This window comes from Homo sapiens, chromosome 4 (genome assembly GCF_000001405.40).
Source record: "Homo sapiens chromosome 4, GRCh38.p14 Primary Assembly".
In the NCBI taxonomy this organism is placed as follows: domain Eukaryota; kingdom Metazoa; phylum Chordata; class Mammalia; order Primates; family Hominidae; genus Homo; species Homo sapiens.
The window spans coordinates 133,443,253-133,461,657 of NC_000004.12; positions in this window are offsets into that span (position 1 = coordinate 133,443,253).

Genomic DNA, 18,405 nt, shown 5'->3' on the forward strand with positions numbered 1-18,405 from the left:
AATTGTTTTTCCTGCAAATAATGCTAGAAGCTAGCATTCTCTGTGGAGAAATTAGGGACTAGGGGAGAAGTGAATGAAACCCCCAAAACGAACAGTAGATAAACCTTTCAGTTCCTCACAGGTGTGGCAGAAATAGTTGGCCACAACAAATTAAAAAGGAATAAGACTACTGTACTCTATGAGTAGCCTCTTACTACTTCTTTGCTACCCTACAACATCCTTCAAGTGAATGTTTTCAATATAGAAGTGAAAAAAGTTTATGCAATTTCCTAGATAGAACTTTTAGCTTCAAATGTTCTAGGTTGGAAAATGGATTAAAGCCCAGTGATGAAAGAAAATATTTCCTAGAGCACTGAACAATGTTCTGAGATTACTTTGTAAAGTATCCTATCTCCTCATCTCTTATACTTCAATTTGTCTCAAACATCTTCTAAGATTTTTTCATAACTAATGCACTGATAGATCATAGGATATAATCCCAACTGGTAAAGTTAAAGTGAAAAAGAAAAAAATATGTCAACTTATTGAAAAAAATAAAGCCTATTTGGTTAGTCATGTCATATAATCTTAATTTTAGCAACGAGGCAGATTTATTTTTAGATGTTTAATTCTAATAAGTGACTTTTGTTTTAAAAATGTCTTTTTGAAAATTGTTATCTTTGTGAGATCACTCAAATCTTAATTAAATCAACATTTTTTTACATCCTGATCTCAGAAGGGTTGAAGCAATTTTGAAACTTCATGAGAGATTTTTAGGAAAATAAAATACATTAAAATAAAGAAATTCTTGATGTTATTTATGTAATCCAAATAAAATATATTGTGGAGAATAGTTTTTATTACTAAAACTTCCTATGCTATGATTCTAGACGTAGAAAATATACCAAATCACTGAGTTCCACCCATTTTGTCTTGTTAACAACATGTGCAAAAACACATTTGAGTCTTGAAATGAAGAAAGATGTCATAATTTTTAAGAATCTTCTTTTGACTTCACATTTCAAATAATTAATCTTTATATTTATGTTATGTGTTAAATTCAAAGAGTGTTTTGAAATTCAACTTACTTCCAACAATAACACTTTATTATGATCATTATTATCCCCACTCTACCAAGGAGGAATCCGAGTCTCTATCAGGGTAGCTGATTGAACCTAGGCCCTGCAGCTTGAACGTGGTAATCGGTGCTCCATCATGTGGCCCCATTTATTTTCCTGGGACCAAGGGTTTGGAAGTCAAGTCAAATAAATAGGTCCTTCTTTCTGACAAAAGATATAAGACAGATAAGTGATTATAAATAATGATCTATCCTCCAGAATCTATAATTTATTGTTGCCTCACTGCACTGTGGAACATCCTTTCTAAAGAGTCCTGACATGACCTTTAAAGCTCCATTTCATTTCCTAATTTGCAACTTTGTACCATGTTCCAAGGTTACAGCAATTTTAGTTCACCTTTATATACTTAACCTTAATCCTCAAAGCAGGGCATTTTGCCAGGTAATTAAGCCTAGGGCTGCATCCAGGCTTGTCCTCTATTTTGTGTCTGAGATTGGAATCCCCTCAAAACCCTACATCCTTGATGGGATTGCAGATCACCAACCCAGATCACAGCTTCCTTTAGGGAAATTTTTTTTAGGACCCTTGATACATTTTTGGGCTACAAGATGAGCCTCAATTAGAATCATCTCTAACTTTCAAAAGATTCTGATAAAATAAATTGTCAAGGAGAAATAGACCATAATTTTATTCATTTCTTTCAATAAAATCCTCCTAATACATATTCTAATATATTATCCCTTCCCATATATTAATGCATACCAATAGTTAAGAGGGGTGATACAACTTTCAAGAAGCCAGGATAGATTCTCTTATTCGGGATAGTAAGTTTCTACTGACTTCATGTTTTTGCAAATGAGACTTCATGTTGTGTTTCCTGTCATAAAAAGAAAAATAAGTACTGGTACAAGATGCCTTGCTTGAACAATTGCACAGTAGGCAATAGCAATTGATACTATTGTTATTAATTCAGCACTACTGCCAAACCCAAGCTAATAATTGTTGAAAAAGGACAAAATTCCAGGCTATGAGAACAAACTGAAATCAGAAAACATGCTCATTAATTTAATAATTGATTGTATTTCATTATTTTATTATACACATTTTCAAAGTTGGAAACATTTTCTAGACATTCTGTATACCCATCATCTAAATCCTATCTTCATTGTACTATGTTTGATTTATCATATATTTATCCATGTATTCATCCATTGACCAAATTTAAGTTTTTTTATGCATTTCAAATGACATTTTTAAGAAACGATATGACCATTTTTTCTTGAGTCCAGAATGTATATCATTAAATAGGCTTTAATATTTGTTGAGGTTTTTTATGTTAATTTATGTAAAATGGAATACACACATTTTAGTATACATTCTCTGGGTTTTGGCACACATCTACATGACGTAAAACCTTACCGATTAATAGAACATCATCATCACCCCCAGAAAGCTGTCTCTTTCCCTTTCCTCATCAATTTCTGCCATCCTGCCAGGCAAACATTGTTAATGGTTATTTTTCACCATATATTCAATTAGTTTATTCTAGAAGTCCATAAGTATGAAATGATCATCCAGTAGGTACATTTGTGCATAGGCTTCTTTTATTCAGTGTAACATTCTTGAAATTCTTCCATTTTGTTGAGTGTATGAGAAGTCTGTTTCTTTTCAACTGCTGAATAAAAACTATAGCTTTGGGAGCCAGGCACAATGGCTCACATCTCTAATCCCAGATATTTGGGAGACTGAGGCAGAAGGATCACTTGAACCCGGGAGTTGGAGAATGCAGTGGGCTAGGATCCTGCCACTGCACTCCCGCCTGGGCCACACAGGGAGATTCCATCTCATACACACATAATTGTATAAATGTAACATGGTTTGTTAATGTTCCTATTAATGGACATTGTGGTTATTTCCGGTTCTTGGCTAATATCAAAAAGCTGCTACAAATATTCTTGTACAAATTTTTGTGACATTTGTTTTCATTTCTCTTGAGCAAATACCTAGTATTAGAATTGCTGAATCTGAATCATAGGGTAGGTATATGTGTAGTTTTATAAACAATGGTCAAATTGTTTTCAAATTAGTTTTAGTATTTTGCAAACCCACCAAGAATATATGGAAGTTCTGTTTGTTCTACATATTTGCCAACACTTGATGTAAATCTTTTTAATTTTAGTCATTCTGGTGGATATTTAGTGGTAGCTCATTATGCTTTTAATTTGTATTTCTCTGAAGTCTTATAATATTGAACTCTTGACACTTTTCCTGGTGCTTATTAGCCGTTTGTTTATCTACTTTTGTGAAGCATCTGATTAAAGTTTTTGCCTCTTTCTATTATTGGAATGTTTGTCTTTTCTAGTATTGAGTTGTCGGAATCTTCATAGTATCTTATGATACTTAGATAGCAATACCTCCTCAGAGATATGCTTTTGCAAATACTTTCACATAGACTGTGGCTTCATTACTTACTCTCTTAACATTTTAGATCTATGAGCAAAAGTTTTTAATTTTGAGGAAGTCTAATTTATCTTTTTTTAAATTTTCTGTGGCTTGTCTAAGATATATTTACTGAACTCTTCAAGTCCAGAAAATACACGTTTTATGGTTTATGTATAAGCACGTTTCTTCTCAATTTAAATTTTTCATAGAATGTGAGTAGGCATTAAGGTAATTATTATTTTCATATACATTTCCAGTAACTCCAGCACCATTTATTGAAAAGCCTTTTCTTGCCCCACCAGCTTGCTTTGGTCCCTACATTGAAAACTAAATGACCATGTAAATATGGGTTTATTTCTGGATTGTTTTATTCTGTTAATAGGTAGATTAATTCTTATGCCAAAACCATATTCTCTTGATTACTGTAGCTTTGTAGTAAGGCTAGAAAACAGCTAGTCTAAATCCTCCAGATTTGTTGTTTCAAGATCACTTTAGATATTGTATGATTTTTGTATTTCCATATATATTTTAGAATCAGATTGTCAATTTCTACAAAAAAATGCTAAGATTTTGACTTGGTATTATTTTGAAGCTATAGATCAATTTGAGAGGAACTAACATTTTAAAAATATGGCATCTTACAATTCATGATGATGGTTTTCCCTCACTATTTAGGTCTTCGTTAATTTCTGCTATGTTTTTTTGTAAATTTGGCACAGATGTCATGTCACTTATTTTGTTAAATTTATTCTTCTATTAAGTTTTTAGACCATGATACAATAGAAGTTGCTAAAGTTCATTTTTAAAATTTTTGTTGATAATACATTAAAATACAATTGACTTCTTAGTATTAATCTTGTATCCTGATATCTCACTCACTCACTGGTTAGTTATAATAATTGTGCTGTAGAGTCCTAAGAATTTTATATGGAAATAGGCCGGCTATGTGCAAATAAGTTTACTTCTTCCTCTCTTACCTTTTGTTTTTATTTCTATTTCATACCTTTTTACAATGTCTAAGACATTCACAGAATTGGTGAAAATGGGCATTTTTTTCTTGTTCAAGTTTTCAACACTGAGTGTGCTGTTAACCCTAGGTTTTTCATAAATGACATTTCCTTTATCGGACTGAGAAAATTTCCTTATGTTACTAAATTGTTATACATTTTTAATTTTGAAAAAGTGTAAAATTTTGTCAAATGTTCTTTCACACTTATTAAAATAAATTTGTACTTTTTCTTCTTTATTCTGTTAATACAGTGAATTACATCAATTCATTTGGAAATTTAACTCAACCTTGTATTCCTGTGACAAAACCTCTCAGCTACAATGCACTACCCCATTTATGTATTGCTGGATTTGATTTTCTAAAGTATTGTTAATAAATGTTGAATCTTAGCTCATGGGGACCTATTAGCTTCTAGCATTATTTTATTTATTTTTCTATGAATTCAGGAGTATTCCCTCATTTTCTATATTGTGACAGAGTTTATGTAAATTTGATGTTATTTCTTCTTTAAATGATTGAAATAATTTACTAGTGATATCATCTGGTCCTGGAGTTTTCTTCTTTGAAAGGTTTATGAAAATGGGTTCAATTTATTTACTAGACAGGGTTATTTGGATTTTGTCCTTTGTTTCACTTCAGTTTTGGTAAATTGCTCTTTTCAGGAAATTTGTCCATTTAGTCTAAGTTGTTGATGGAAAATTGTTCATAATATGGTCTTATTAGTCTGTGTATGCCCATACTACTTTTAGTGATAACTATTCTTTTATCACTGATACAAGTAATTTGTTTTCTTGCTCAATCTTCTTGATCAATCTAGTTAGTGGCTTATAAATTTATTGATCTTTACAACAAAACAAATTTTCTTTGTCGAATAATGTTTTTTTATTTTGTTGATTTCTACATTTATCTTAGTTATTTTCTTTCACTTACTTGAGATTTAATTTCATGTTGCTGTTGGGGAAATGTTGTATACACATCAAATAGGTCAAATTGATTAATGCTATTCAGATCTTTCATATTTTACTGATATTTTGTTTTTGTTTTATAAATTAATTATTATTTTGTGGAATATAGCATACATTCCAAGCTCCTTGTATGTGAAACAATTGCATCACATCTTGAAAACTGTGAATACGATGTTACTCCACAAATTGTTGATTTTTTTGCTTTGTGTGTTTAGCAGGCATTTAGCTTTGTCTTACAGGCAGCTACACAAATACCAGGTTAGTTATTTTATCGATAGCCGGAAGTTGTCTCTTGTATCCATGGTTCCCATGTAAGTCAGAAATTCAGCATAGATTATATGCAGAATTTGGGGCTTCTTCACCTTGGCTCATGCCTCTCTCAGATTCACCCTTCATTTTATAATATAAATGGTTGCTTAAACTCTATCCTCTGTTTCTTTAGGCTGGAAAGGCTTCATTTTCTATCATTATTTTGACCATCATTTTTGTACCACAGAGGTCTTCCTTAAAGACTAAAGCCAGTGAGCAATAGCAAACCTATGCCTAGCCGTTTTCTCCTATGAATATTTGACTTCCCTCTGTAATCTACTGCCTTTGTTCACTCTCCAGTGCCTTTGTGTTTTGTTCAGAATGATCAGTGTGAGGTTGGGTCTAGTAGGAACTTACTCAACCATACCAGAAGTGGAACCCTCAATATTTTAAATTTAAAAACAGATACATATGTAACTCATTGTACTGATATTCTTATTGTTTATGGAAGTTTAGTTGTATTGAGAGAAGAATAGAATACACATGGGAGACTTATTCTTAATGGAAGTTTTAATAGTGAAACATTTCAGGATTCAAAAAGAAAGCAGATGTTGTCATTTGACTAATTATTGTATATGTGACTCAATTACTAATTTCCATTCATGTAACTGGTGTTGGGAGATTTTTACTTCTTATTTCCAGCAATATTGTATAGATTAATCAAGCACAGGAATTGGCAAGCTGTGTGGTTTTCAGATTAAATCTGTCCCACTAGGTGGTTTTGCAAACAAAGTTTAATTTACACACAGCTACATTTATATATTGTCTATGAATGCCTTTGCTCTATATTAGCAGAGTTGAATAGCTGTGACAGAGATCATAGAGCCTGAAAAATTTAAAATATCTATTCTTCATAGAAAGCCAAAAATAATTACTCTTTGTATAAACATTATGTGATACAGGTTTTCCGTGCACTGGTTACCACTTCAGCTCATTTCTTCTTGGGCTTCAGCTCACTGCACTTTTACTACTAGCCCGAGTCCAATGAGACAGAACACTCACTCATACCACAAGTTACATGAAGTTGGTTTATTACTTCCAGATAGGAAGCAAGGGACAACAGAAGCCTAGGATTCATGATGAGCTGGTTCCCCACCACTCCATCTGCTAAAGGCAGATAGAGTCTTACTGCTGTGCCCCACTTGCAGCACACCTGAGGGACCCCAGAAAGCGGACAGAATTGGGTTTTATACCTTGGGGATCTCATGGCATAGTAGGCCATGAAGAAGAACATTCTGTTTCTAGGAAGGAAAGGAACAGAATGAGGCTGCTCCAGTGAGTTCCTCCATATCTCAGGATGTTGCATTCCAGCACATTCTTCAGTTATTTTGGAAGACTACAAGTGAGAAAGTGGGGAGAACTGGGTGAGTTCAAGGCCATCAGGAGAGTTATCCTGCACATTATGGAAAAGGTATGCTAAACACAGTCTAGAATGTAGTGTAAACTTCCTAAGTGATTTTTGTGCCAACTTGAAGAGTCCAGAGCATGTGCAAATGGTTGCAGCTTACAGAGTGGTGGCAGACAATGTTTCTCTCTAATGAGAAAGCAATCATATAATAGTTTACTTAGCTTTGCTAGTCTCTCCCCAGCCATTACATTGTTAATCAGAAGGTTGTTTTATTTTACCATAATTATTGTCCAATTTTATTGTAATTATTTCCAGTGTTTATAAAATGCGATTAATAATGATATGGAAAGGAGGCAGGGAAGTGCTGGGAAGGGAAGGGCGTGGTCCCTGGCTAGGGTTCCACATCTGAGCCTGTGCCCATGGACCTAGGTGAGGACAGGCACTCCTGCCTTTGTGCCCAAATGTTGCTTATCCCAAGACCATCCTGGCCCACCACACCCCCATCCTGTGCCTATAAAAACCCCGAGACCCTAGTGGGCACGCACACAAGCACCTGGACGTTGAGACGAACACACTGGCAAAAGAACACACAAGCGGCTGGACGTCGAGAGGACGCCAAGAGCACACCGACAGGCACCGGCAGGCCAGCTGGCCGTTGACCAGTGGAACTACATGGAGTTTGTCCTGGACGATTAGAGGGGAGCCCGGCCACTGAGTAGCCCGACTCCAGGGGAAAACTACGGTCCCACTCCATTTCCTTTCTGGTTCCCCCATCCGCTGAGAGCTACTTCCACTCAATAAAACCTTGCACTCATTCTCCAAGCCCCCGTGTGATCCGATTCTTCCGGTACACCAAGGCAAGAAACCCCCGGATACAGAAAGCCCTCTGTCCTTGTGATAAGGCAGGGGGCTGTAATAGAGCTGACTAACACAAGCGGCCTACGGATGGCAAAACTAAAAGAGCACATGGTAACACACACCCACTGGGGCTTCAGAAGCTGTAAGCATTCACCCCTAGATGCAGTCCTAAGGTTGAAGCCCCACAATCTGCCCTTCTGCATGCTCCCCGTAGAGGTTGGATTTAAACAGAACAAAGCAAATTAAAAGCAGAACGAGAGAAGAAAACATATCTTAAATGTTCATCATCATTAGAGTGAATTTTTGAGGTCGACCAGGAAGAAGAAAAATAATGTTTTTAACACTTTGTATAAGTCTTAGAGGTGTAGTAGTACTCTTTTGAGGATGGGCATGAGCACAGGCTTTATAAGACATATGCAGATTGTGGTGAGTGTTACAGTTGCTCACATATGAAACTCAACACAGATCATTTTTGTTTTAGGCTTTTTAGTGAGTTTGTCTATCTTCCTTTGAGCAGGATGTGAGGGAATGGTGTGAAAAAAAGACTATCTGCTCACCTAATATTCCTATTCATCATATTTTATCCCACATTTAACATCTAATCTTAAAATATGTATACATATTAGCATTTATACAGTTATATTCCTGCATATCTATTTCTTCCAACCAATTTACTTTCTGAAAAGTATTGAATTACCTTTTACTGGGTCAGCCTAAAAACATCACAGAATACAATAAATCCTTTTAATCTGACTATGTCCACATTTGGCCTTAATCTCTTTGTTCATTTTTGGACACAAATATCCAGAACAAAATTTTATTTTCCTCAGAGCAGAGAAGCACTTTCTCTGGCTTTCATGTTTAACAACTCAACAACCTTTTGCTCAAGATTAAATACTTTATTGTGTCTACAGGCAGTTGCATATTTATTACTCCTGAGGCAGTGGTATTTGAAATAAATGGAATTGAATGACTCGGTGAAATAGTTTCTGAAATCCATGTATCTTGAGTTGCTCTATCTCAAAGGAAAAGAAAACATTTCATATCCCTACTATGAGAAGATAGTTCATATGAGAAACACCAGGGCTATAAAAGTGAAGTAAACATTTTATTGTGGCTCAGTTTTTGTTTGTTTTACTGTAAGTCTGAATTCTTAAAATCAGAGAAATTATTTTCCATATTTTTTTCTTTTCTTAAAACAGACAAGATCTGTTTTTGAATTTTTCCAAGTTCATGTATTAGAATTACACGACATTCTCCAAATATACTAGGCATTCATCATTTTAATATGACTCTCACTAAAATAAGTTTGAATATTAAATATATGCATGTTATATAATAAATATTTGTATCTAATATACATATAGCATGTATATAAAATATATGTAGATATGTATATATATACACATTTGAGGTATACATACAATTAATTTCAATCATCAATTCAACCATACTGGTCTCTACACTGTTTTGAGATGGACTAGTCACTGTTTTGAGATGGGCCACACCTAGTCCTTTTCTCTTAGTCTTCCCTCTCCCTAGAATTTTTTTTTACCAAAATATATCTGCATGATTTATTCTCTCCCTCTGAGAATCTCTACTAAAAATTCCATCATCAGAAAGCTCACCTATGACTCATATACTCTATTGTCATTGCCTTCCTTCATTATGTTTTTATAGCCTTATTACCGCTTACATTGTCTTCTCTCAGTAGAAGTTTAGCTCCATGAGAGAAGGGATCATACACATGCACACATGTGCGTGCACACACACACACACACACAAACACACATAAAATCTCTGCAGGCTTACAACAATATGTGTAACAAAGCAAGTGGTTTGATTGGATGGTCAAATAAATCTTATTTGTTTCATACTGAATGTCAATACAACACCTTTAAATTATTTAATTTTATATTGTACAAAATTCATGCTTTTAAAAAGCTACCAAAGGATAATAATTAGAAAGAAATTTAAAATTATTCAGTGTAAATAATTGTCTTTAAAACTACCTTTTTATGAGATTTTAAAGTATTGAATCATTATCATACTTACATTGTAATAGTGCATTCATCAGATAGCAAACTTTGATCACAGCACTACATATCAACATAGTGTGCTAATATTACATATGATATTGAGTTTATAAACAAGGTAAATAAAATTGTGATTTAATAAAAATATTAGAAAATGTGTGATACATTTAAGTGAATAGAATAGATGAACAAAATAAATGTTTTATTGCTGGAAAGGGTGAATTGCCATTTAATTTTGCCAATATAAAAATTTAATTTCTTAACAATAGAGTTAATTTAGTTACTATTTTGTCTCATTAGTTAGTTAAAATCTTAAAGTATGTGGATGTCTAGGATAATTCTTGACTATGCTTGACTTCTTGGTTCTTTTTCTTTTAATTTCTGTGGGTATATAATAGGTGTCCTTTTATCCATCAGTAATATCTACCAACCACTTGCATATCTGTCTTTTCCTGCTATTTTTAAAAACATGACAATTTCTGATTCTTATCAACTATCAATTCTTCAAGTAATTTAAAAATGTTTAAATTTTTCATCCATGAGGGAAATTTCTAATATTATACTTCCAAAGGAAAAAGATTTTTATAACAGTAATTTGAATATATGTTTTTTGTACTTGTCTTTTTGAGTGTATGACTCTTTGCAACAAATATAAAGTTTATTTAAATATATTGATTTTATATAACAAACTAGGGCATAGAGAAATGTTTCTAAACTTTTTATTCTTTCTGCTAGAGTCTAACATGAACTTACAGAAAAAAATACAGTAAATGAAAATGGACATTTACCAGAGCATTTTCTCATTGTGTAAATCCTCATTATTACCTTAAGAATAAAATAAAATGTCTTACCTGGTCTATTAAGGTTCCTCTATTACTCATACCATAATTGTTTTTCAATTTCACCTGACTTCCAATCTATAGATATCTTTTTTATCTCAATCCATTAGGGCTTTGTTTTATTATTTTTTTAGTTTTCATCTTTTAAATCATAATGGACATTATGATGTGCTTTTCAGATCCTTTTTTACAAAAGAAGGATTTATTCCTCAAGCAACTATGAGTGCTGTGGGGGAAAAACAAAAAGCCTATAACTGTCATAGTTGTGGAGCTACCTACAATGAAGAAAGCCACATCATCCACAGTCACACCACCTCCCAGGGAAGTCCATATGTAATGACTGATCAACATGCAGGTACAAAGGCAAAGTTCCCAGCTTGAATCTACTCTGAAAGGTCATCCCAGATACTGAACTCATAGAGTTGGTGAAATGTACATGGAGACTGAAAGTTCATCCCAGATACTAAACTCATAGAGTTGGCTAAATGTCCATGGAGACTGCATCACAGCTCAGCTTCTCCTTTCTGATTTCTCTTCCTTCTATTTCTTTACACAAATATCAATCTCAAGAATGCTTCATAATAAACCCTCTATAAATTGATATATATTTATATATATAAACCATATATATATATATGTTATATATATGTTAGAACTGGTCATGCAGGGAATTCAACATGCCAAATTTGTGCCAGGGGTCTGAGAACAGACATATAAGCATGATATTTTAGAGCTGTGTCACCCATTGTCAGCTGTCCACAAGTACATTATCACTAATGCTTGTGTAGCAAAGAAACCCCTGGCACAAGATGCGAGTGTAACTGTTAAGATTCTCACTATGAGTAAGCTGGAATGGAATACAAGTGAAGAAGAATGCATTAACTGATGCATATACCTGGTATTTGAGAAATATGAAGGAAATGTGGAGAAATGGTACTTTAAGGGCAGTGGAATTGTGTATCTATTGCTAACCTGTGTTTTACAAGAGAAGAAATCTGAGTGGTTAATTAGAAATTAAAAGTTAAGTATGAGACCCAGAGCAGTTCTTTAGTAGTATATAATGAAGATCTTGTCTCTTGTTCTAAGGGCATAGAGAACTGAGGTTTGGGTCCAATATTCAATTATAAGAATAGCTAAACCCCAAAGAAGTTTAAGTTTTAAAACTAGGCAGATCAGCTATATCAAGGTCGGAACCTGTTTGAGATGAAAACACCAATGTGCAAGTAAAAATCTTGAATTCTAAGATTCTTCTGAATTATCTGTGATTGCATAAGAGCTGTTTCTTTTATCCCCCCATTGCTAGAAAGCAATCGAGAAGCTTCTCCTCTACTAGACAATATCTGCCTCCTTTAGGATATTCTGCTGTTTTCTCTTCTTATTATTAAGTTTAGGTCATAGCATAATCCATTGAGCGCCAAGGCTGGGCCTGATAAGAGAAGAAAGTAGGCTCTACTTCGAAGAAGCTGCAGGAACCACTCATCAGGTGTGGTGTATACATGGGATTATATTCTGAAGGTGCTTGACCAAGGGAGAGAACACATGGTTAAATAAAGGACTCTTATAGACTTGAGATCGCTCTCTGGGTATACAGAATTAAACACCCTGGTATAACACCAGAGGATAGTATGAAGACATTTCCAGCAAGATTCCTAGAAACATGGGAAAATGATGGTCTACACTGAATGAAGAAATGCCAGAATTTGAATGACAGATATAAAAGGATTAAAAGGTTCAGAGACATAGTCGTGCTAGGATGGCTCTTTAATACAGCTGGTAAAAACATCCAGACACATGAGAACACAAAGGCTACACTATTCACCAAATCAGTAAGAACACTGCTGGGAAGAAGGGAACCAACTTCACTAAGATACTCATAGGTTGCTTCCCTTTCTAGGCCAGGACTTGAGGGAGAAGATATCTTTATAAAACTGCGTTCACCGATACTAACAGGAATGACAGAACACTGAAAGCACAGAGGCCAGGTGGAAGTGCTAAACTGTTAAAAGATGGGCACACAATTATAAATAGTGTCAAGATCAGATGTGGGCCAGGGAGGGCTGACTGACAAAGAGTTATAAAGATGATTAATAGAACCTGATATTTCCAGAGTCAAAATAGATTAGCAGTCTATGCAAGTACTACTTTATCTGTAATTCAAAATAAATAAAGGATGGATGAACAGGAGGATGAGCAATCTTACTAATAAGAAGTCATTGTTCCTTGCCCAATTTTCGGTCATGAGCAAGTTTTCAGACCCAGGCACCTTTGTTGAAGGGGAGGCCGGGTCCCCAAGAAGAAAAACTATCTGTATTGCCATGAGAAGTGGACATGGTAATTATTCCCTCAGGTCTTCTTCAAAGCACCGGTGGCTATATGACTGAGTATTTCTTTTCTTTTTTGTTTTTTTTTTGTGACGGAATCTCACTCTGTCCCCAGGTTGGAGCGCAGTGGCGTGATGTCAGTTCACTGCAACAACCTACACCTCCCGGTTCAAGTGATTCTCCTGCCTCAGCCTCCCGAGTAGTTGGGACTGTAGGTGTGTGCCACCACGCCCGGCTCATTTTTTGTATTTTTAGTAGAGACAGGATTTCACCATGTTGGCCAGGATGGTTTCGAACTCCAGACCTCATGATCCACCCGCCTTGGCCTCTCAAAGTGCTGGGATTACAGGTGTGAGCCACTGCGCCCAGCCATGACTGAGTATTTTTATGCTGGGAAAAACATTTCAAGGATTTTTGACCACAGTGTCTGACTTGACATTGATACCTTAAGATCTGTAGTGTCATTGTGGCCCCTTATCAGAGTGATGGCATATGGAGGAGGTCAGGTAACAAATACAGTCTTCAGATCCATGCTGATGATTTCTTCAGTCTCTGAATATATAATGAGAAATACATACTTGGTGGTTGGCACAAACCACATGTTGATTTCCTGGTCTGTGAGTTGAAAGATCCTGGATATGATGACAAAAGTCAGTGTCACACTTAAAGTCCTAAGGAATTCAGACGTGATGATCCTCATTGTATCTCTGTTTAATGTGCCAGTCCGGTTCTTGCAAAAACCAGAGGGATCTTAAGAGTATTAGAGTAGACTATTGTAAAATCAATGAAATCATAGCTTCAGTTGGAGTGGTTTTGCCACATACAGAATCTTTGCTAAAGCAGATCAAAATGGCTTCAAGTGCTTAATGGGGTCTTGTTGTGTTGCCCAGGCTGGCCTCAGGTGATCCTCGAACTACAGCTTCCCAAAGTACTGGGATTATAGGCATCTCAAGGTACTGGAATTATATAGTACTTGACATACCTGGCAACTTCAAGTATATATTAAGTGATCACTGGTTAGGTGAAATTATAATTTTTAGAAACAGTTCACACTTAGTTGGACTGGACAACAGTGCCTAGTAATAGTCTTTTCCTAGGACTATGTTAACTCTTCTACTCTCTGTTTTAATATATTTTGAGGGGACGTGACCCTGTTGGACATCTCAAAGAACATCTCATTGTTCCATTATCTTTATGATGTCATGTGATTGGACTGGATGAACAAGTAATGCTGTGTGTATTGGAGTCCTTGGGAAGAATATGTGCTCCAGAAAGAGAGTGATAAACCCTATGCAAATTTAAAGATCTGCTATATAGTAAAATGTTTAATTGTGTTCAGAGTTTTGAGGCATGTTTGGGATCCATTCCAAAATAAATAATTTGTTATTGTACTTGGTACTTCCGATCACAAAGAAGAAAGTACAATGTCTGGCAGGCTTCTTTGTGTTCTGGTCAACATATTCCACACCTGGAAATACTATTCTGAGCTATATACTAGGTGAGGCAAGTGTATATCCATACTGTGCTACAAGCAGCATTTCCTATTATGCCACATGGCTCAGCAGACCCTATGATATTACAAGCATTAATGATGAGGAAAGATCCTGTGTGAAATTTCTCACAAGCTCAATAGAAATATATAAATCAGGCTCCTAGATTTCTGGAGCAAGGCTATGACATCTACAGTGCGATATTACACACCTTATAAAAACAAGATCCTGATGTTTTTCTAGGTGCTGAGAAATGACTACTAATAAAATATAAAGTTACTATGCAGTCAAAATGGCTTACCATGAGCTGGATTCTTTTATAAGGATGGTTCAGGACCAACAGCAATTATCTTGCAAACTAGAATTTCTACACACAGAACCAAGCATAAACAGAGTGTTGTAAATTTGTGCAATATAGTTGCTGCCTTGGCATCTATTTTTAGGCCTGATGTAAGTTGTTTGAAAACCGGTTATACCCCAATGTCTTTGGCCTACTTGAAACTTTCCCTCCCTATGTTGTTGCTTGCAATATAGCTTGCTTGTTCCTCATTGCCTTTATCCAAAATCTAACACATCCTACAGTTGGTGAGCATCATAAAACCTAATGGTCAACAACAGAGTCATGTAAATAAGCTCTTAGATTTCCTATCAGCATGCTCCTATACTGACTCCTAACCTCTCGGGGATCTGCAGGTAATATATTTCTTCTCTTTCATGTACTTTGATTTCACCTCCTCTTGTGTCTCACCTGACTGACATGCCCAAACTTGACTCTTCCTTCTTTCTTCTGTCAGGGGAACAGTGGCTATCTAGGCTTATGGTAACTCTTAACAGAGAGACCTCAAGAACAAATTAGAAACAACTCATAACAATAGAAGTCACAACGCAGGGCCAGGAATTATAAGCAGACTACACAAATAGTTGACCTAGAACCTCATGTAACACACCATTGTTGTACCAGAGCCTGTTCTTCAGCTGAAAACCAACATCTGTACGAGAGATATCTTCTGACACAAGGCAATGGAGAAAAATGTCTGACCTTGCTTTACAGATAGGTCACCTGAATAGATGATAAACGTATTACAGCCCCACTCAGGAGTAGCCTTGAAAGACAGTGGTGAGAAAAAATTTTCCTAATGGTCAGAATTTTGGGTGATACATCAGGTCATTCACACTGTATGGAAAGAGAAGTGACCCAAGGTTATGTATTCATAGCCAGTGATGTATGATTTCTCTGGCTTGTCAGTGGCCAATCAAGAGAGATATTAAAGAAATTAGAAACTCTGGGGTAGAAAACTATAAATAAACCTATGAGAAAGGGCACCAAATAAGCAGATCTTTGGATTGCTTGATAACATACACCAGAGGCTCTTCATCAGAAAAGAGATATGGAAAGATCAGGTAGGCAGAATAAGCTGACTGGTTAACATCAGTCAGTCTTGGTGTCAGCAGTGTCAACAGTGCTGATACAATGGGTGCATGAACAGAGAATCCATGGTGTCAGGGACAAAAGTGATGTATATATCCAAGGGCATGGGTTTGCACGTATCAAAGCTGATAACTTTCTGCTGCTTTCACTTGTCCAAATGCCAGAAAAAGAAACTAACGGTGAGTCTCTACAACAGTATTAACTGTAATGGAAACCAATGGTCCATATGGTGGCAAGTTGACTATATTAAACCCCTACAACTATGGAAGGGGAAAATTATTTTGAAAGTAATAAATACATATTCTGTACCAGGATTTGCCTCTTGCCAGCAGGTCTTTTGTCAGACTTACTATTGGGGCTTACAGAGTGTTTGATCTTTTGGCATGGATACCACATAATGTCACGTGAACAAAGGATCCATTTTATAGCAAAGAAGATGTGGAGATAGGCCCATCATGATGTGACCCATTGGTTTTATGGCATTCTATTCCACCCAGAATCTGCTGGCTTGATAGAAAGCCAAGAGACATAGCACCAATAGACATTGTCACCAAGAGACATAGCAAGAGTTACATTGAAATATAAGCTACAGCTATTACTGTTGTGCTTTGGGTTTCACATGCCAAGGAAATAAGAAAGAAGACATGTTATTACTATTGTGGAAGAGAGAAATGATGCCTATCATTAGGAGGAATTAAGACATCTATTACCCAATAGCATCATGGACAGGTAAGCTTGGCACAGAAGTAATCTCCTTGCAGATCTCTTGGTACTCTCTTACCTTATTTTGATAACAAATGAGCAAATGCAGCAGCCACAGCTTGAGATATATGTAATGAAAAGAAGCTCTGAACCCCCAGAGATGAGGGCCTATGATATATCAACAGTAAGCTACCAAGACCAAAAAAGCACTCCTTTAGGGTATGAGGAATCTAGCATAGATTGTAGAGGATAGTGATAAGGGGCGTTGCATAGCTGAAACCCGTTAAATGACAGAAGAGTCGTTCATCCCACTAACCTAAATTTCTCCCAGAAGAAAAGTCCCACCACAATCCTGGAGGAACTACTCTCATATTTGGTGACCTTTTATACAAGTCAAGTAGATCAGAGCTGCTGAAGGAGTAGAGTGTGATGGATAATTTGATGAGACATCTAGAATGCCTTTTGGGAATGAAGGACCATAAATGCTGCCTGCAGAAAGCTCTAAATTTTCAGCCCCAAGAATTGCGTGGACCAAAGATAACCTCTTTGCTCAGATCACACTTCCTCCCTGGGGCTGCCACATCGAATTACTAATTGACATAAGAGTAGCAAGGTCCAGCCTTTTTTTACCCAATTTGGGAAAATTTCAAAGACTCACCTTAGCTTCAGAATTCCCCATAGGGTTGGTTATAGCTTTCTTTCAGGCTGTAACACTGTTCAACTTCTTCCTCTGCACAATTCTACTTTTTCTTCTTGTTTGCAGGTGCTGATCCCAGGAGAAAGCCCTAATAAAATCTCTGCACACTTATTTATCTGAAAGATAGATGCTTTTCAGATAACACAATTTACACTTGCCACAAAATCCACACAGTCTATCCATGGCCAATACAATTTTTCACCAAACACAAATTAAGACATGCAAAAATATGGCTTTCTTCATTTCCTTTTCTTTTTTTGGAGTCGGAGTCTCGCTCTGTTGCCCAGGCTAGAGTGCGGTGGCGCGATCTCGGCTCACTGCAAGCTCCGCCTCCCGGGTTCACGCCATTCTGTCTCAGCTTCCCGAGTAGCTGGGACTACAGGCACCCGCCACCATGCCCGGCTAATTTTTTGTATTTTTAGTAGAGACGGGGTTTCACCGTGTTAGCCAGGATGATCTCGATCTCCGCCCGCCTCGGCTTCCCAAAGTGCTGGGATTAGAGGCGTGAGCCACCTCGCCCTGCCTCTTTATTTTCTTATAACTAACCTTAGTGCATTTTGGTTGGAAAAGAGAATCAAGCTAAATGTCAAAGCAGAAAACTTAATTTAGTCATTTCCATTAAAATTTATTCATATCTTTATTTCTTATTCATTACGAGTCAAATTCTAAATTTCTTTCTTCCTCCTCTTTATATGTTAAGTTGATTCTAGCTTCTAAGATTAATATGAGTTTTGAGGGTTCTTGAACTCTCCTACACAAATATCTGCTAATATATCCAATTATCCATTGTGACTTTGGGGCTTTATCGTACCTACTTTTAGCTGTTGATATTCCTCCCCCGGGGAGGTGTTGGGAGTAGGGTGCATCACTGAATCTATTATGCCTTTTTCTGACCTCCTGCT